The sequence below is a fragment of the Homo sapiens genome, chromosome 10 (genome assembly GCF_000001405.40).
Source record: "Homo sapiens chromosome 10, GRCh38.p14 Primary Assembly".
NCBI classification, from domain to species: domain Eukaryota; kingdom Metazoa; phylum Chordata; class Mammalia; order Primates; family Hominidae; genus Homo; species Homo sapiens.
Genome location: NC_000010.11, coordinates 91,042,488 through 91,064,039, shown reverse-complemented (window position 1 = coordinate 91,064,039; position 21,552 = coordinate 91,042,488). Strand labels below are relative to the sequence as shown.

The 21,552-nt window shown below is 40.1% G+C and overlaps 1 long non-coding RNA gene and 1 pseudogene across 1 annotated transcript; both read right to left on the bottom strand.

The window, feature by feature from the left end:
• Positions 1 to 1,880: 1,880 nt before the first annotated feature.
• Positions 1,881 to 18,232, bottom strand: LINC00502 (long intergenic non-protein coding RNA 502). The gene is made up of 4 exons (NR_047467.2): positions 18,110 to 18,232; positions 16,922 to 17,028; positions 16,011 to 16,139; positions 1,881 to 2,061 (listed from the first exon to the last, which is right to left on the bottom strand). It is a non-coding gene; the product is annotated as a long intergenic non-protein coding RNA 502 (long non-coding RNA).
• DDX18P6 (DEAD-box helicase 18 pseudogene 6) lies at positions 7,015 to 11,031 on the bottom strand (annotated as a pseudogene).
• Positions 18,233 to 21,552: the final 3,320 nt, after the last annotated feature.

Sequence of the window (21,552 nt, the reverse complement as noted above, 5' to 3'; positions counted from 1 at the left end):
ATTCTTCTTGTGTCAAATCTCCCTACATGGACCCATGCAATAATTCCAATTTTAATTTTTATTCTTTTTATCTTTCCACAAGACTAGGTGTCTTGTTTTTGCAATTGTGTCTAGTTGTGTCTGTATGTATATTCTTGAGATATGAGGGTATATAATTATGTGCAAATACAAAACCATTTATGTAAGTAGGTGTCCATACATGCATAAACAGATAGGTGTGTGTCCTGTGATTAAGCACTGTAGGCCTGCACTGTTCAGTATGGGTAGCCACTAGCCACATTTGCCTATTTAAATTAGCTAAAACCAACAAAATGTGAAAATGCAGTACCTCTGTTGTACTAGCCACATTTTGAGTGCTCCAGTGGTGGACCTGCCCACTCAGTGCATTCATGCAACTCACATAAAGGCATGACCCTGCCATCCTGTCCAGAGGGTGGTTAGAGTTCAGTAGCATGGCCTACACAGCAGGTTTAGTCTTTACACTTCGCACTCTCAAAAACATGTAAATGAGTCCAAACACTTAGTCCTTAGAAATTCATTAAAATCTCTTGTCTGCTTCTATCTTTAGCACCCCTATATTCCTTTGGGCTTCTATTTCTTCTGCCATGTCTCTGCCCCCTTGGTCCCTTGATCCCTTCTCTTCTCTGGGCCATGTGTAAGTCTACACAGGCTCTAGATGAATCATATCCCCAGCTCCAAGAAGCACCCTGGAGATTGAGGGTTGGTTCTATGCTAATTGTTCACGAGCATCTGACTTTTTCCCTTTTATTAATAGAAAGTGAAGGAGAAATAAGGAGCTTAGTGGGCAAAGATGGAGGGAGAAAGCTGCGAACCTCCAAACATTAACAATTTTATCTCATCGCATGTAAATTGAAGTGTGTACATTAAACTTTGTAGAGTTCATCTATGGAATGGCTTCAGTTCCCAAATAGTCTTACTGTCACTGTTCTTATAAAAAATTATACTAAAGGCTTCCCTTTAGGTATTAAGGGGATAGCTTAAGCAAGTGAGTGCAAAAAAAAAAAAAAAAAAAACATTTTTTTTCTTATTTTCCTAGTGCCCCGACCATATAGAGTAAATAATGAGGGCTTATAAAATTGCTTCCCTTCCAGGGTGTAGGCTTGGCCATGTAAAGTGGATAACATTTTACATCAATAAATTGAAGGAAAAGACATTGCCCCATATAACGCCGGCACATAGTAGGGCTCAAGGGGAGGAAGAATCTAGAGCAGTGGTTCTCAGCCTTGGCTGCATGGTGGAAGCACCAGGGGTACTTGAAAAAATAATTCCCTGGTTCGCTTCCCTAGAAATTCTGATGTAATTGGTCTTAGGTGTGGTCTGAGTGTTGACATTTTTAAAAGCCCACCAGGTGATTCTGTTGTAAAGCCAAGGTTTCGAAACACATGCTAAAAAAAAAAAAAAAAAAAAAGAAAGAAAAAAAAAGAAACACACCCTGGTTTAGAGGGAAACTCTGGGTTCTTCTCTACTATTTTCCTTCTGATCTTTACAGGGATGCCATATCATCTTTAACTCAGCCATGGGCTTGGAGGGTCAAGAGCTGATTGTTTGCGATAGAAATTTTATATTATTCTAGATGTGGTCTACTACATGTTACAAAGTTGAGTGTGTGTGCCATATGCATGTGCACACATATGTGTGATAAATTTCTTGTGAGCCCTTTGAAGCTCCATGTCCTTAGCAGGGTTCCCTACACTTAGAAATTTGGAAGCCTTCCTTTAAGTAACACTCTTGTTTTCTGTCCAAATCCAAAATAAAAGTGACAGTAATTAGTAGCATAAATCAACAAGCAGAATGTAGCAACCAGTACAGAGAGGCTGGCCTGACAGTCCTCAACGATACTTTTATTTTTATATATCCACTATGCTCAAGATTAGTTTATTAATTCTGTAGCAGGTTAAGGGAGTGGAGGCAGCTGGTAATCGTTGATTCATTTATATATTTTCATTCAATAGCCATCTGCTGAATGTCTTGTATGTGCCAGGTCCGGGTTAGGGTTGGGGACTCAATATTGAATATGACTGCACAGCCCCTGTTCTCAGCCTAGTGGGAGAAAACATAAGTAAATGAGCAATTGCACTCTGTGTGAATGTGCAGTAATGCGGGGACACAGGATGCTGAGAGAGCACATAGTTGGGACATCCAACCCAGACATGGTTGGTAGGTTAGGGGGTGGTTATGGGGAAAGTCTCTTGGGAAAAATAACTTTTGGGAGAGTGGCAGCCATGGAAATAAACCACTTGGATTTCCCTTCAAGAAAGAACGTGCTGTTCAGCTTCTAGAAATGCAGTTATCTGATAGCATCCAGCTGTTAGGCTCTCAGGATTAGCCTTAGCTTTCAAGCTGACCCCACATTCTTATAGGCAGGGGGAACAACTTTGTTCCACTCTCTGTCATTGTGCAGAGTGGAATGGATAGTAGAAGGAAAGGGAGGAGAGAGAGGTAAGCAGGGAGTATTGTAGCCCAGATCATGGGGGACCTTGTAGGCCATTGTAAGAACACTGGCTTCTACTCAAAGTGATATGAGGTGAGAGGAGGGCATTGAGTGGGCACTGGCATAAGCTAATTCATGTTTGATTCAAGTTCTCAGCCTTTGACTTTGCTCCAGCCCACTTCCTTCCTTTCAGTCAGTGACATCCATCCCTCCAGGGGACTGCCAGCCCTCCAGGGTACTTGCACCTAGCAAAGCAATACACCTTCAGAGTGACTCCTAGTCTGACAGATTAGAGCAGCTTCTGTGCAGTGGGAGTTCTAAAGAAGCTGAAGATTTCATTTCTAAGTTCAAGAGTGTTATGTCCTTATAGATGAGACTATGTGAATTTTTTTTGTGTGCCCAAAAGTTGTAGAGGTTATGAAACATCAAGGCTAGGACATATGCCAGATGACATCCCAGAAACTTTTTAGGGTGACAGGTAAAATAACTGGTTTTTATCCTTGGAGAAAGAACCAACATCTCTAATTGTCCTCCACGTTAGACTTGCCTTCCCTGACTTGTGAAACCTGGTTATCAGTGAGCCTGGCAGGAAGGTGGCCGTGAAAAGGTCCTGGTTGGTGTACAAGCCCAAATTTGGAGCATGAGTGTTTATTTTCTATTCTCTGTCCTCTGAAGATTTCCATGTAGAGAGTTGACCTGGGCCTTAAGGTAACAATCCAGGCAAAAAAGGAATAATTTAGAAGAAAATTAATTCCTCCCTTGAGGAACAATTTCTGTTTATAAATTTTAAAATATGTTTTGTGTTTTATTTCACTATTTCCTAGGATTTCATTCCTCTAGCTGAACTTAAAGCTGTCTTCAGAAGACCCATGACTTGCTCAGCTTCTCATCCAGCTGCAGAATACACACCAGGACTGGGTGTGCTTGGAAGTCCACTTTCCAATAGATTTCTGTGGCATCAAAAACAACTCTTTTCAAAACCACCTGGTGCCAGGGAATGCCAGTTTCGGGAAGGTCAATGCTGGGAATGAGAGCAAATCTGTTCCTGTCTGCAATTCTTTTCTTCATCTGGGTCTCTGAGCTAACCTGGCCTTGATAATTCCTGGTCCCAAGTGCCACAATGAAGACAGTGATTATGGCCACCACCATCATTATAAAAATAAATAAAAGAGATACTTAAAATGCTCAGAACTGATGATTCACACATGTTAATGGTGAATAAACACAGAAAAGTATTTTAGCATCGCTAATTATCAAAGAGGAAGAAGGAGAAGCAATGTAGGGCAGGCAAAAGCAATAAAGTTGAAAACAACCAAAATGGCCCCCAACAGGCAATTGGTTAAATCTGGATACTATGGAATATCTTGGAAATTTCTGTTAATAAAAAAATTGTATTGGCATCATAAAATATCAAGAAATCAGGTCACAAACTATATATGCAAATATGTTCTTAGCTTTCAAAATAAAAGCATTTAAAAAGAATACTCTCCAAATATCAACAATATTTATTTTTGGAAGTATAACTATGAATAATTTTAATTCTTCCAAATATTTTTCTGTAATTTCCAATTTTCTAGAATAAACATGAAACAGGAAAGCCAAATCAAAATAAATTATAAGAAAAAATAAAAGAGATATTAAAATTATACACAAATTTTTCCTATAGTATAATTTTCACAGAAAAAATGTTTGAGAAAATATTTTCAGGAAGTCATCTAATATTGCTGTTGGCTTTTCCTCACAAGAATATGATGTGATGGCAATAAAAAGTTGTTCATAAAGTTATGATTTAAATGGTTAGACTGGTCTCAGTGAAATTCAGGGTCAGCTCTACAGTTTAATCATATTGTTTTTACTGGCTACCAAGGCTAAAGAAGTATAAGTACAACTGCTATAATTCCTTAGTTAGTGGGAAGTGGCACATTTAAAGGGCGCAAATCCATTCTCTTTGCAGCCCTCTATCACTTTCACTGCAAATGGAGAAAAATAGAGGAAAATTGAAGAATCATTTAGTTAATATGATAGAAAAGAAGGAAGAAAATAAGGGTGGTGGGGGGCAGGGTGGGCTGGGGCCTTTGGAGAGCATGCGACACTTGCAAGATCCTATGAATGAGAGAAAAGCAATGATGGAAACAAACATTTACTAAATCTTTCCCTGTGTTTTGTAACCTGAAATTTCCAAGATATTCCACTGTATTCAGATATAACCAGCTGCCTATTGTGGGCCATTTTGGTTGTTTACAATTTTGTTGATATTGCCTGCCCTACATTCCTGCTCCTTCTTCCTCTTTGATTATTAGTGATGCTAAAATACTTTTAGATGTTTATTCACCATTAATATTTGTGAATCATCCTTTCTCTGAGCCTGGGCCCTTCTAAGTTCTTCTCCCATATAATTTCATTCTCTACTCATAGAACATAGAAATGGGTATCATCTTCTCCACTTCACAGGTGAAGAAACTGAGACTCAGAGAACTAACTTGCCCACGATTATACATTCTAGTAAACAATGAAGCTGGAAATGCAAACTACCTTCATAACTCATTCTGAAATTACATGTATGTACATGTGTTTGCATGTGAGTGCCCAATGAACATGGCTTTGTCAAGGATGGAGTTTTCCTCATCTAGTCACCTGGAGCTCGGAGAAGTGAACTGACTCAATCGTGGCCATGGAGGCATCATGAGAACACAATCCACCAATTAACAGTCTAAATGAATAAAGCGTAATTTGTGTTGGAGTTTCACACTGGCTGGGCAACAGCTTTGAGATGGAGTGCAGGCTTTGGTTGCTAGCAGCCATTTGGGAAAGAGAGAATCATGAAAAACAGCAGAAGGTATGGAAGATGATGTCTGTGAGAAGCTAGTCTATGGGAAAATTTTGGGGTGTGTTGACAAGGGAGTATCATCATCCAATTAGCAACTCCTCATAGTACCCAAGGTTCCCATTTTCCTAGGATCTGGGGAGTGGGAATTCTGAAGGGCAGATCAGAGAGTCTTATTGCTTCAGGACAAGGACAGCCGAGGGGAAGTCGTCAGTATTTGAAGAGATACAGCAGCAAGTGGGATTAAGAAGAAAAATTCAGATTTAGAAAGCCAGACAGAAAAAGGAAGGGGCTGGACTCTAAAAACTGCCCTCATCCTATAAGACAGGCATTCTTTAAACATGTCCCAGTACTCCTCACACTCTTGTAAAGTCACTTCTCTTCATCAATGACCTGAAAGTAGTGCTGCTGGTGGTCAACCAGTAGACAGGGAGATGAAAAATTATAGAGCAAGAACTTCAGTACCAAGACCATGGTCTCAAAGAGGGTCTTCATGGTCCTCTTTTGTATCTTTTTGATGGTTTATTGCAAGACTTAGGGCTCTTCCATGTGAAAACGTAGCATTTGATATCAGCTAATGGTAGAAGCATTACAGGGAACACTTTCCAGGGAAGCTATTTAATGATCATTACAATCAGTGCATTTGAATCTTAGATGACCTAGTGAGTCATTGTCTTCTGTAATTTTATGAGACTATGAGTTTTTGGACTATGAGTCTTTAAACCTCCTATAGGGCCTAATGTGGTGTCTTGCTTACAAATATGAGGTGAATGAAAGACAGACATCCAGGTGTCTTTCCAGGGGTATGTTGGAGAACCTAAAACCTATCTTCCTACAAATACAGTTTGGTTTAGTTCTTCTCAAGTGTCTTCTTTGGATTTGCCACATTGGAACTCCTCAGTCACCAGTGTGTGCCTGTTATTCAGCAAGTACCAAGAAATTTTCCTTTGGTTGGTTTTCACTCTCCACGGCCAAGTCTAGTCATCAGAGAAATGTTTCTAAGAAATTTAATAGATTTTGTCATCTCTGTTTGATGCAGAATGTCTGAGAAGATGCCAGAGCTAGACACCTCCAATTGCAAACACGGCCCAATTACAACTAAATCTACAAATGGATCACTTTCTAGTTTTTGCATGTTGGGTGTTTCATATGCAGAGTTGACACTATTGGCTCTTCCTCAGTAAGATATACATCTCAAGTAGTTTTTGTGCAGTATGATGGAATGACCTGGCCTGATAGACAATATGATGGAGTGACTATACCATGGACAGAATCATCACTATCTCCTGACAATCTTCCACAATTCTAAGTTTTCTTATTTGTTCACTACAAATGTCAATATAGATTAAAAATCATTTACACCTTTTTATTAGCCTAGGAATTTTTGACCACCTTCCATGAGCCAGGTATTATGTGATGCCCTTTACATATAACCTTTCATGTCTCTATTATTCTATTTTATAGCTGAGGGAGCAGAGTTTCAGAGACACTAAGTAGATTGTCTGAGGCCAAACCTCTCTTAAATAGCAGTTAGGATGTGAATAAAAGTCTATCAAAATTCAAATTTTTGCTGTTTCTACTATACCACCATTCCTAGGTCACATTCCTAGTTGGATGGAAGGAGTTTGCTATGTAGACTATTCATCCCCAAATTGCCTTTATTATGGAACCTTATAAAAAACTTGTACAAAAATCTAAATAAATAACTAAGACTGCATTCTCATTTTTGGTTTTTTTTTTGAGGTTATTATTAAATGACACAGGAAAATAATATGTTATGAAACAAGCTGGTTACAAGTAGTAGGTAGATGACTCCATTTTTGATAAAAAAATTAAAAAGCATGAACATGCATATAAAAATTAGATTAGGTACAAAATACCAACAGTATTTACTTCTGCTCAGTAATTAAATATTCTTCCCTTCGCTTTTGTCTTTTAAAAAACATTACTTCTGAAACAAAAAAAAAAAAGGAAAACATGATCCTGGAGAGAGTTACTAAACATGAGGAATTAGGAATCCAAGAAGCCAAACCAGGAGCCCAGCAGTCAAGGTTGGAAGCCCAGGACAAGTGTGACCAGGGTGATAATGGCCAAGCCCAGAAATCGAAGATTGTTCTTTTCTTTTCCTACTGGAATATTCTTTACCAAACAGTTTCCTCTACATTAGATATTAGCACACTTACATTTAATGGGATGCTATGATTAACTGGCACAACAGAAAAATGATGCTAGCAACTTTTGTTTTGAATTGCTACAAAATCTATTATTTTGTAGTTACACATTATACAAAACACACTAGAAATCAAATGCTCCTACAACAAAAAAACCATCTGACTTCGCTGTTTTTTTCTGACTGTTCATTTTCAATCTTCACAACAAATGTATTTTTTGTTTCAGGGACTGGAAGAGGTAATTTTTCTCAGAAAGAAGCAAACATTAATATGTGTTGGGCACTGTCTGATGGCTTGGCTCTAAGTCCAGGGCAGTTGCCCTTGTCTTCTAAGTACTGTACAGAGCGAAAAGGCTTACCAAAATCCAAACCACCTTGAATTAAAGAAATCTGAATGAGGAGCGGCACCATTCTTTGTATGTGTGTTTTTAAAGTCTTTGCTGTGTTACTGAATGAAGAAATGCAGTATATTATACCTCTATTGATGTAAACGAGCCTCAAACATCTCAATTCCACCCTCTTCCTACCCCACACTCATCAAATGTTATGACTGCTAGTGACACTTTATTCAAATTACAAACCATAGTTTTTGCTCTAAAAAACAAAACACCTGAGAAAGGCTCATTGCTTTAAAATCAAGAATCTGGGCCGGGCGCGGTGGCTCACGCCTGTAATCCCAGCACTTTGGGAGGCCGAGGCGGGTGGATCATGAGGTCAGGAGATCGAGACCATCCTGGCTAACAAGGTGAAACCCCGTCTCTACTAAAAATACAAAAAATTAGCCGGGCGCGGTGGCGGGCGCCTGTAGTCCCAGCTACTGGGGAGGCTGAGGCAGGAGAATGGCGTGAACCCGGGAAGCGGAGCTTGCAGTGAGCCGAGATTGCGCCACTGCAGTCCGCAGTCCGGCCTGGGCGACAGAGCGAGACTCCGTCTCAAAAAAAAAAAAAAAAAAAAAATCAAGAATCTGTAAAAGCAATGCCACCCCAATCCTAAGGTGCTTCTTAGGTATTTTCCAAAGCTCTTTGCTCTTTTATACTACAGCATTTTCAGGAGGAGTCATTAGGTACTCCCAAGGTCCAAGAAATAACTAAAAACAAAAAATAACCTGAGACTCTTTTCTGCATTACCACCAGCTTCCCAGCACACTAGGTCACCTTTTACAGCAGTAAGCAAAGCAACCCATGCCACAAAAATCTTCACAAACCAAGAAGGAAAGGTACAAAAAGAATTATATTAAAACAATAACGTACATTTGTGTGTATGAAGGAGGGATATTTAAAAATTTAAAATATTATATCATCACAAGAAAGAGCAGACATTCCTTGCTCTGCCCTTGGGCAACCAAGAAAATTAAAGCCTGTTTTATATCCCAAAAATAAAAGAGACTTGATAGAAGTAACAGTGCTCAGTGCTTGCAACCCAAGTCAGTTTATACTCTTGTTAGACCAGTCCAAATTCTAAAGGCTACAAAAATCCTGTTAGATCAAGGGGGAAAATTTCATGTCAGGACAAAGTTATTCAAGATAAAGACAGGCATCTCTTGAGTGAGGGAACTGCCTGCTGCAGATGACTTTTTGCTAATGTGTTTAAAGATTATGGACTTCTCAACTTTCTTGGTTTTCTGGTAGCCAAATCCTCCTTGCTTTTTCTGCTTGCCTTCATTGCTGTTCATGTTCAGATCAACAAAGGGAGGCAACTTGAAGCCAAATGACAGAGCAATGTGAGGCAAATTTAAGTTATTAATGTTAAAGATCTGTTTCAGAGAATAGGAATCATAAGCTCGTATGTATGACTTATATGTTTCCTGTGCTGACTTATGAAGAAAATAGTTCTTTTCAATCAGTTTCTCAAGCTGAGACTGAATGTCAGAAATTTTAGATCAGGAAAAGTCAAATTCACTTAATGGAACCTTGGATTGTTTCAAGTAGTGAAGGAAACCCAGTTCTTCTGGGTGCAAAATGAGCAAGGCATGCCTTCCCCCATTTAGGCCTCTGGCTGTTCTCCTCACACAATGAATACATTCCTTAGGGTCATCTGGAGGGTCATACTGAACAATCCAGTTGACTTCAGGAATGTCCAGTCCTCTTGCTGCCACATCCTTACACAATAGTGTTCCTGAATCTGCGTTGCAGTACTAGAAGAATGTGGTTGTATGCTTATTTTGCTTTTGCTTTCCATGAATGGCCAAGACAGCAAATCAATGTACTTCAGCAACCCGTAGGGGTATTTCACAGACATACAAGCTGAAAAGAAGACCATGAGCTTCTTCTTTTGGTTCTTCTTAAGGAATGTAAAGAGCAGAAGGTATCTCTTTTCAGAGGGACAAACAAAGTGTCCCTGCTCAAGACCATCCACAGTTGCATTAGCTTTATCTTCATCAACACCAACATACAATGGCTCCTTTTTCGGAGAAATCCTTGCCAGGTCCTCAACTTTTCGAGTTTAGGTGGCAGAAAAGAGCATAGTCTGCCTGTGTGTTGGCAAAAGTTTAATAATTTGCTTTAATTTATCTTCAAACCCAATGTCCAAGATACAATCAGCTTCATCAATAGCCAGACCCTGCAGGTTTTTATACATAAACCCTGGGGTATTCTGCGTATGGTCCAGCAGACGGCCTGGTGTGACCACAATGATGTTGATCCCATTAGCAAGTTTCTGTGCTTCAGCAGATCTGTTACTGCCACCTATTATCAACCCATAGGTGTGCACATGGTGAGTCATTAGCTCTTTAAGAACACCAAAAGTTTGCATGGCTAGTTGTCTAGTAGGTGAGAGAATAAGGACCCCTGTTCCATTCCTGGGCATGAACTTTAACTTAACAACGAGTTCAATAGCAGGGATGAGAACAGCCAAGGTTTTACCACTGCCTGTTTTTACAGCTGCTAGAAGATCCCTGCCTTCCAGAAGTGGTCTGATAGTTTTATGCTGAATTTCAGCCATGTTGGTAAAGCCCATTTCTTTTATTTCCTTCAGAGTGTTTTCATTGACAAGATTACATAGAGAAGCAAATGAAGTATCCTCAAAAGCTCCTGTCAGTCCCAGGAGCAGGCTGGGCACCTCACTGTCATCTTCATCATTATCTAGCTTCTCCACATTATTTTCTGTTTCTTTAGAAGTCTCGGCACTTTATTCTTCAGATTCTCCTTTGTTTTCAGTTTTTGCTTTTTTTTTATCAGGCCCAGCATCATTCGCCATTTTTCTCTTTTTCTTCTTCTTTTTCTTTTTTGATTCTGACTTGGGAGACTGCATTTCTGCATCTCCATTGGTTAATATGGTGGATTTCTGGGGAGATTTTTTAACTTTTACATTTTCCACTGTTTCTTGAGACACGTCTCCATTTTGAGCTTCTGATAAGGCCACATTTATAGAATGTTTTGATTTTTTAACCTTTCTACCTCCCATTGTTTCTTCAGACACATCTCCATTTTGAGTTTCTGGTAGGGTCAGATTTGAGGCCCCCTGCAACTTTAGGTTCCACTGCCACAATTTGAGGTTCTGCTTCTCCATTTCCTTGCTCAGGAGTTTCATCAGCAGGTGAGACATGCTGTCCAAGAAGTGCCTAGACCGCGGTGCCACAGTACGGCTCTGCATTCCCATTTTTTACATATTGATTTTGCTCCTCAAAGAACTCCATGAACCCAAGGAGCTGGTTGACGGAAGCCTCTGGTCATCCCAACTGAGTCTCCATTCCATCTAGGAGCAAGGGCCTCCAAAAAGCATTAAGTAGAAGGTTGCTTCCCCAAGACTCGAATACCAAGCAAATATTTTCTTCCAGAGTTGAGGAAGGTTTTTCTAATGTCTATTTAAAATTGCTCTGAAAATCTGGATCCAATGGAATAAACTAGATAGGGCTGTTGATTGTGGAGAACATCTATCACTAACTTTATACCTTTTCTCTTTTTAAAAATTCTTTTTGACATTATAAAAACAATATATGCTTATTGCAAAACATTAAAACAATACAGAGGTGCATAGATATAAAAGTGAACATTCTCGGTAGCTTCTTTCACTTACTCCCATTTTAGGAGGTAACTGTTAGGAGGTAACATTACCACCTTAGGAAGTAACTAGATTGTATATCACAAAATCTTTTCTGAGCTTTTATATCTCACCTCTGTACACACCTGCATATGCATGCACAGACATACACAGTTACATGCCTTTTCTTTTATATAAAAAAAGAAAGCATGCTCTAAATTTCATTATGCAGCTTTCAACTTAATACACCACACATAGATTCGTATGTCCATCAGTCATAATTCTGTTGGTTTATCACTCATAAATGGGAACAACACTGTTGTCCCCTCTCTTACAAGTTTGCCATGAGGATTAATCATATGTTCAAACATAGGCAAGGACAGTGGTACTAAAAAATGGCACAGAAGGCTTTGAGATGGCCATTGATGTATTATTTTACAGAGACATCATACAGATTATGTGATGAGCTCCAAGAGTAAGGATGAGGAAGTAATTTCTTGTTTTCCCACTCTGAATGGGACACTTCGTGATCTGCATATTACAAAAAACATGAAAGTGAGGTCAGGCTTGGCAGGGAAATTGCTGGCTACGAGCTTTTAGGACAATTAAGAAACAGCAGGATCATTCTGGCACAAGCTTCAACCAGTTGGCAGAAAAATGCCTCTTCTGCTCCTACAGTGACTGGCAATTCTAAGTAAATGGCTAAAATTGCCTTTAATGTCTGCCGGCAACTTCTTTCCTGAAGTCTTTGAGTCTTGTTGCATTTGCTTTGATAATGAGTATCTTCTCTATTAGGGTAAATTTGACATGCATAAGGATTATTTCAACTCTGACAGGAGAGAAATTCGCTTGTTTCCAGAATTAGGAATACTTGAAAATTTGCTCAAGTCTATGAATTTTTCCCTAAAAGTTTTCTCCTTTAAGACTCTGTTACCATACACAAAGACTATATTTTATATGATTAGTGACATACTAACAGGCATTTTGAAATATTAAAAATAGCTCCTGAACCCCTGTTATTTTCTTTGGTGAAGTCCAAGGACTTGGATCCCCAGTTAGGGCATTATTAACTTAAAATATTCCTACTCACTTAAATTATAAGCTGTCAATAAATATCACTTTTCTTTTAACTTCAATTCACAGTTTGCCCTGAGACTACATTGCTGACCATATGCCTTCCACCCCTGATACCTAGCCAAGGCAGCATCCATAATTGCCTGTTGGCTTGCCTCTGAGAGCCCAGTGTTGGACAGCCTGTATAGTACGATGGTTGAAAGCAGTCTTTGGAGCTCCAAGGGCTCTGCACATTTGCTTGAGTCCCCGCATAACATGGTGGAGATGGTAGCACCTACCTAAGAAGGTTGTTAAATTAATTAATTAGCCTATATAAAAAAGCACCTAGAATACTGCCTGGACCATAAAGCGTCATTATTACCGTATCTTTTGTATTTAAAGTCATTCTTTTTAACTTTTGTTATTGGGATGAGGTCAGTAGCTTTTTATGCTTCTGAGAGAGGAAAACCTCTTCATCTTGTTCCCTGGGTCATAACAGAAACAAAGAGGAAGAAGGTGGTATAAGTTCAGTAAATCTTCCCCTCATATTTGGTCAGATAAGAGCAGGGGCTTGGAGCCAGGCTGCCTGACTTGACCACTTACCACTAGCAAGTTTCTTAACCTCTCCAGCCTCAGTGACTTTATCTGTATAAAGGGGATAACAATTGCCCCTAGTCATAGGGCTGTTGGGAAAACCAAGACGGTGTGAATAACAGACTTACACATAGCGAGTGCTCAATATAGATAGCTAGTAAGTTAATTCTGAGGCAGGCAACAGATTCAAGTCTACTACTACTGAGCTCCGACTATGTGTCTATTCTGTATAGGGACTGCATTTAACAATATTCCCACAAGGAACACACATTATCTTCACTTAACTGATAAGGAGACTAAAGCTTTGAAAGGTTAAATGGCATGCAGCAGTTCTCCTGTTAGAAGGCCATAGAGCTGAAATGTGACGCCAGGTCTTCTGATTCACAGGCTAGTGTTCTTTCTTCTAAACCCCTGGATATCTCTGTGAGCCACGCATATCTGATTACCCCAAGGATTCTCAGGGTCAACAATAAATAGGGTAGAGAGGCCGTCAGTCCCTGCCTTCTGCTTACTGCCAGAAACCTTTCCAATTATCTTTGTATGACCAACACATATGTAAATGCACAACATGCTTTAAACAGTTAAGAAAAACATAATTTTCCCATAATCCTACTCCGGGATTCTTTTCTCTCAAAGTTTCATTGACTTTCTTAGAATGTCTAAATGACCCTCGGAATGTTTTTCACCAGAAAAGTTTTGTTGTTTTTTTCCCCACTGATTCCAAAACAGTGAGTTGACTCCTCTTCTTCCTGGAAGGATTTCTAGGTCATCACAAATAGCATTTTTCTTTATAGTTCTCAAGTGACCTTTAGTGCAAACATTTCTTTCTTCTTCCTGGGGTGGGTTCTGACATCATTCTCCAGGAACACAAAGGCCTCCACAAGGTTGATTTATCCTGCTGAGATTCTGGAAAGGGTCTCTTCTCCTCTGACCATGTCTTAATTCACAATTGAGGGAAAAATATTTAGCAATGAGTCTCTTTCCCTATTTTCTTTGAGCTTGGTTTTTAAAAGTCAGTTATTCTAACATCTGCTTGGAACATTTTATTGTCCCTAGTCAGAAGTATGGTTTTGTATTTTTTAGCCAATTATTTCTTATCTTTGGTTACTTTTGCTCTTTTTTAATTCAAATCAGCCAGCATCTGTTCCCAGGATTCAGTGCCAAGGTGCCACCCAGTTTAGGAAAGCTAATCTTTGATCTTTTTCTTTTGCCTCTTCTTGGTACCACACACCAGTTTTCATCCCCAATTCCCCCACATTCTCATACCTCCCTTTGCAAATTCACTTGAGATTTTAAAAAGAAAAGAAAACTTTAAAAGGAGAGCTAAGATGATTGTTCAGATAAAATGCTGAATCCATACAGCCAAAATCTGTGTGGTTTTCTCCGAGTTTGCTCTGTTCTGCCTAGATGTTGTGTGGCTTAATGGGGAGAGAAGCTGCCAGCTTAGAACAGAGCAGAAGGATTTTCAGCATCAGCTCCTCCCATGTCGTGGGTCTCTGGTAAGTTTCCCAGTCTTTTGTTACCCAGGTAGCTTTTTCATATCATGGGCATAATGGTAGAAACCACCTCCATAGGCCAAATGGCAGGCACAACATTAATGTCAGGAGAGAGGCCCAGGTGGCTGCTTCCTTACTAAGACCAGTCTCTGATATTTGCAGTTACTTTTCTTTCACTTCTTGGTGCAAACAGGTTTTCTTTTAAACATAGCTAACAATGATTTTGCAGTTTCACACTGACATAAAATTTTTGTCCAGCTTTTGAAGGAAATCTATTTATGCGTGATGAGTCTTCTGAATTCTAAATCACTGTTACAGACATTTTTAAAGTGAGAGTTGTGTAACACATGTAAGATGGAGTAACAAAACAGTTTTTAAAAGTGCTTGGGCTGGGCACGGTGGCTCACGCCTGTAATCCCTGCACTTTGAGAGGCTGAGGCGGGCAGATCACCTGAGGTCAGGAGTTCAAGACCAGCCTGGCCAACATGGGAAAACCCCGTCTCTACTAAAAAATACAAAAATTAGCCAGATGTGGTGGCAGGCGCCTGTAATACCAGCTACTCGGTAGGCTGAGGCAGGAGAATCACTTGAACCTCGGAGGCAGAGGTTCTAATGAGCCAAGATCGTGCCACTGCACTCCAGCCTGGGCAAGAGAGCGAGACTCCATCTCAAAAACAAAAAACAAAAAACACCAAAAAAAAAGTGCTTTAAAGGGACTTTTTAATCACTTAGTCATTCAATCAACAAACATTTATTTAGTGCCTTACTCTGTCAGATGCTACATTAGACCCCAGCAATATAGTAGCAAGGAAAAAGACACACAGTCCCCGTCTTCCTGGGGCTTAGAGCCCAGCAGTCTTCTGCCACTGCAGAAGGAGTCTGAATATGAGTTGTGGCTTTTCTAAGTCAAATGTAAAGTTTGACACTTGTCTTGAAACCACGTGAAAAGCCACAGGACAAAGGAAAAGAAAAAGATGCTAAAAAAAAAAAAAAAAGATTATGTGATTCCCAGGAGGATTTTATCTCCTGAGCACTTTCCTAAGCAGGTGGACCTTTTTACCCAGGGCCATGAGCCTGAATACATTAATTCCTTCCATGGTGTGGAGATCAGTGACCAGCCAAAAACAAGGGCTAGTAAACTACTTCCGGTAGTCAAATCCAGCCTACCTCCTGTGTTTGCATGGCCTATGAGCTAAGAATAGTTTTTACATTTTTATATTACTTTAAAGGAATCAAAAGAATAATAATATTTGGTGAAACAGAAAAATAATATAAAATTCATATTTCAGTTTCCATAAATAAAATTTAATGGGAACATAGCCTGGCCCATTCATTTATGTATTGTGCTATAAGGGCAGAGTTGAAGAATTGCAACAGAGACTGTATAGTTGGCAAAGCCTAAAATATTCATTACTTGGCTCTTTAAAGAAAATATTTTCTAACCTCTGGTGTAGAAAACTTTCTGGTGCTGTCACTTCACACTGCTTGGCTGTAGCCATCTCCTTAATTGCTAAGAGACACGGCAACCCCAAACAGCCATCTTCCTTTGTATTGCATGAAATACAGGGTAAGCTGTAGGAACAATAGAGAATGGTACATTGATAAGCAGGTTTGAATTTTCTTAAGCCACAAACTTGAGTGTGCAAAATTGATAATATTATTTTGTATAATGTAACTTAATTTACTTAACATTATAACATGCAATGTTAATTATTTATAGAAAACTTCTCTGTTTTCTCAATCTTTTCATGTTAAAATTCAGTTAATTCTGGATTTTCTCTATTGTCTTCCATCTCCTTTAGATGGCACCTGTGTGGGGTAGCCTACATGGTATTCTGGCAAAGCCTGCCTCTCCTGAGATGTATCCCACCTCTGGTTACTAGCACTCCAGCAATGTTCATTACCTCACCTGGTCTTGCGGCTTTCTCTTATAATGTACTTTTTCACTTCTGCCGGATACCTGGGTTTATCAGTGCTCTGCTACTCTTGAACTCTTCTCGAGTGTGTGGAAACTTTGCACTGCTCTTCCACGTTTTCTCTGGGGTTGCTAGAGATGAGTAGAAAACCCTGGCCTTCCCTGACCCTTCCCACCCGCCCCCCACCAACCTGGGAATCTGGCATAGGAACCAGGTCTGTCTGACAATGTCCTTGCATTTAATACTGTCATCCCACCTCTTCCCATAGCCAGCTTCTTGAGTGGAAAACGTCCCCAAGCCTGCTACTGCTCCCCCTGCAGTGGTGTCTCTTGAGTTGGAAAAACAGGATGTCTTCTCTTTCAGGGCCATGATCTGAGGCAGGCTGGGAGGAGGGAGGAGGAGGCATCTGGTTGATAGCCCTTTACAAAAGGAACATACTTGTGCTTCCCAGCTCTGTGCATGCTCCAGTCAGCTCAAGTCCGACCTATTGGCTCTGTTTGATTCAGCAACTTCAGACTCTGGTTAGGCCAGATGGAAAATCAGTCCTGGAAAAACGAAAATGTAAAAAACTGTGGCAGAGAAGGTCATTCACTCCCTCATAAATCTAAACACACTAAGCCCATTGAAGGACTTGCCAGGAAAATGTGATTTTCAGTTTTCTCTTTGGGTCCAATTTATCTTTACTGCTAAGTAGTCAAGTTGAATTAGATCCAGAACCAGATACAATCCTACCATTTTTCTTTGAAGGGAGGGACCCCCACCTTCCTGTCAGTGACCTAGCTACCCCATCCTAAAGACTGGTATTTCCTAAGTTAGAAATTCTAGCAGATCTTCTTTTAGGTTTCTGAACTGGGTGCACCCTAGGTTTCCTTTTCTCAGATGAATGAGTAATTGCATCTTTTCTTCAATGCCTCACTAAAGATGAGAAACAGTCACTCAGGATTGCATTTCACTTCATTGCATTTTGCTTTTTGCAGATGGCAATTTTTCTGCATCTTATGATCTCCCTTGACCTGAAGCACAGCCCCATCTATCATCCTGACCATTCAAGTTTGTAGTTTTGAAAGATACACAATAGAATGGAATACAAGAAAGAGCAAACCTGTCCAGGAGACTTGACCAAATGAACCCTCGTGTCAATGAGGGCATTAGAATAGGCCCTGGAATACCCATACTTCCATGATATTACCACAGTTGCACGTAAATATAAAACATGCAAAGCATTCCCCAGGCTGTTATTGGCAAGAATCATAGTTCTTATCCTATGAAGATAGGAGCAGAATAGAAGAGAGTAGTCCAGGTGTGTTTCCTACCTGAATGACAAAGTGGAAATTGATGTATAATTTTCCATATGGAAACAACTTGTTTCCCCACATTCATTTCCTCAATAAGGACAGATGCCCTAAGGCAGATTCCTTCAAGATGGAGTGAGAGAGGCCTTTTTTCAGCTCCCTGTGGTAGTCTTACTATATCATCACAGAGTCTTTGCTATGCCTCCCTTCAAGAGATGGAGTTTGATGTCTTTTGCCTGGAATGTGAGTGGGACTTAGTAACTCACTTTCTAATGTAGAGAATATGGCAGGGGTGATAGCATGTCACTTACAAAGACTAGGACATAAAAGATACCTCTGGCTTCCTCTTTGCTCTCTTTGGGATCTCTTACTCTGGAAGAAGCTGGTTGTCATGTCATGAGAACACTCAAGCAGTCCTATGGAGAAGTCCACATGGTAGGACCTGGGGCCTCTTGCCAACAGCCATGAGAGTGAGCCATGCTGGAAACAGCTCCTTCAGCCCCAGTCAAGCCTTCAGATGACACAGTCCTAGACAATATCTTAACTGAAACTGCAGGAGAGACCCCGAGGCAGAGTCACCGAGTTAAACTATTCACAAATTCCTGACCCACAGAGGCTGTGAGATAATAAATGTTTGTTGTTTTAAATCCACAAAGCCATAAATTATAGAGTAATTTGCTGTGCAGCAATAGATAATGGAGTCCGCCTTGGACAATATTTCATTGGTGGTGAAAATTTCATTCTATGAGTTATTTATGATGTATACCTTTATGTTGAATGGTCATTTTTTAAAAAACTAGTCTGCTTTCACAAGGAATAGTACTAATAAAATAAATACTCTTATTAGTTTATAATCTGAGCTGCTATAACTTGACCAGACATGTTCCTAGACAATTTAGTGGATACACTTAAATGTTCCCCCTACGGATTACTTGAGTAAACAAAGAGAAAGTGGGGTCCAGACTTATCAAACCACTTCATTGTAACAACAGAGTTAAAAGGATATTGTGGGGGGTTTAAAATATGCATGCAAATTCTTTGACACCCTTCCCATTGAGAGGTGGGAGTCTCTGACCTCTCCCTGGGAATCTGAGCCAACCATAGTGACATGATTGTAATGAGTAGATGACTCTGTAGACAGCCCCAGCTGAGGTGTCAGTCAAGAGCCAGTATCAACAACCAGACACAGGAGTGAATACACCTCCCAATGAGTTTTGCTCTCAGTCATCAAGTAAGTTACTCCCCACTGTCAAGTCACCCCCAAGTTGTGACCCCATATATAATGGAGCAGAGACAAAGTATCCCCACTGTATTCTGTCCAAATTCTTGCCCCACAGAATCCAGGAACATAATAAAATGGTTGTCTTATGCCATTAAGTTTTGGGGTAGTTTGTTACATGGAATACCAACCTGAACAGATGTATGGAAACAACTTTTCTTCACCTTTCAGATTAGTTGAAAACAATACAGTTTGGAGACAAGAGCTAATTAGCAATTGAGTTAAGCTATGACCGTTAAAAGACTTAACTTCAGGGCAAAATGTAAGGTTCAGTAGAAGGGTGGCAACATGAGAGCCCAAGTAGAGAGACATCCGTATGGTTTTTGCTCTGTTGTTGTTTCCTTTTGCAAATTGCATATCTCTGAGAACATTGAAGAGCTCGTTAGGCAGCATAAATAGAGCTAGACACAGTAAGCATAAATTTTACCTTTGAGTTTTTCCCTCACTTAAAAAACATTTACAATTACAAAAAAATTCAAACAGAGAAATACAGAAAGTAATGAGACATCTAAGTTTTCTCCCCTACTACCCAGAATTCACCCAAAGTTAATATTTTTGGACATTTTGTAGATTTTATTTATTTGTTTATTTATTTTTGAGATAGGGTCTCACTCTGTTGCCCAGGCTGAAGTGCAGTGATGTTATTTTGGCTCACTGTAACCTCTGCCTCCTGGATTCAAGCAATCCTCCTGCCTCAGCCTCCCAAGTAGCTGGGATTACAAGCACGTGCCACCCCACCTGGCTAATTTTCATATTTTTAGTAGAGATGGGGTTTCACCATGTTGGCCAGGATGGCCTCGAACCCCTGGCCTCAAGTAATCCACCCTCCTCGGCCTCCCAAAGTGCTGGAATTCCAGGTGTCAGCCACTGCACCTGGCCAACATTTTTTACTTCATATCTTTTCTTAAGTAAGAAATAAGCTGCCAGATACATTTAGAGTTTCCTCGTCCTACCCAATTCCATTTTATCCCATCCCCAGAGGTAGCCACTATCCTGAAGTTAATGTTTCTCCCTTGCTTTCACCTTTTCATTACTTTAAGCATAAATAGTTCTGAGGCTGGGCACAGTGGCTCACGCCTGTAATCCCAACAATTTGGGAGGCCGAGGCAGGTGGATTACTTGAGCCCAGGAATTCAAGACCAGCCTGGGCAACACAGCAAAAGCCTGTCTCTACAAAAAATATAAAAAAAATTAGCTGAGAGTGGTGGCATGCAACTGCACTCCCAGCTACTCCAGAGGATGAGGTGGGAGGATCATTTGAGCCCGGGAGGTCAAGGCTGCAGTGAGCAATGATAGCACCACTGCACTCCAGCCTGAGTGACAGAGTAAGACACTTTCTCAAAAAAAAAAAAAAAAGAAATAGTTCTGAAAGTTATAAAGTTACCTTATAATTGCATTTATTGAAAGCTAGTTTTAATGATTCTGTCATCATTCAATAAGTTGATTTGGTGAAGACAAGACAGACAAATGTTTGCTCTCTCACTTACTAATGGATTAAAACTTCTAGGATACGTGCTCTCCATCTAGTGGTAAAAACGGGATAACCCTAGGTGCACTAATGTCTGATGTAGAGGAATGAACACACACCAAGGGCCTTCTGCGGACAGGACACTCCTCTGGTGTCTGTGTGGGAGACACAAATGAAGAGAAGATAGACTCTGGCCCTCAGGGTGCTAAATCTATGGAACATTGACCACGTGGTCAACAACCACATGAGGGACACAGAGGCCTAGAGAGGTCAAAGAACTTGCTCCAGGTCCAACAACAAGTAATTGGCAGAGACGCAAGCCAAACTCTGACCTTTCTGACTTCGAAGCCCATTCTCTAAACTGTGATGCTTGATAGTACTTTTAAACATTATTTTTATATTGAAACAAGTATAGATTTCTTGTGAAGCAGAATATAAATTTTCATGAATTGTAAGGATTTAAGAGAAGAGCTTTCAAATAAATTTGGCCTGTTTCTTGGATGGCTCTAAACCCTCAAATCCAGGAGTTTCTGCCTTTAGAAGTCCCGGGGAGGAAAATGTTGAGAAGCGCTTCTTGGGGATGACCTTCTAGAATAGAGCAAGGGAAGGTTCAGAGTGGGAAGCATGGAACTTGAAAGATCACTAGTAACAGTGATATTGAAAAATGTTAACACCTGGATCAGCTGGGCACTGACTAATAGCAAAGAGCATTGGCCAAATAGTCCAAACACTGAGCATAGCAAACAGCTTAGCTTTAACTATGCTTAGCATCTTCTTCCTGAAAAAAGAAGGCTGCATGTCCTAGGTAAGGAACAGGGACCTAAAGAAGGGTGAAGATTTAATAAACTATCCACTGGAAATTTCTTCCACTTGTTCCAAACCTGCTCTTCCTCTTCTGTGTTCCAGCCTTCATTAGTCTCCCAAATTAGAAACCTTAATGTCATCCTCGACTTAATTTCTCGATTGGACTAGAATCCAATCTTGATTTCTCTTCCTTACCTCATTGATCCCCTGGTTGCACTTCGAGGGA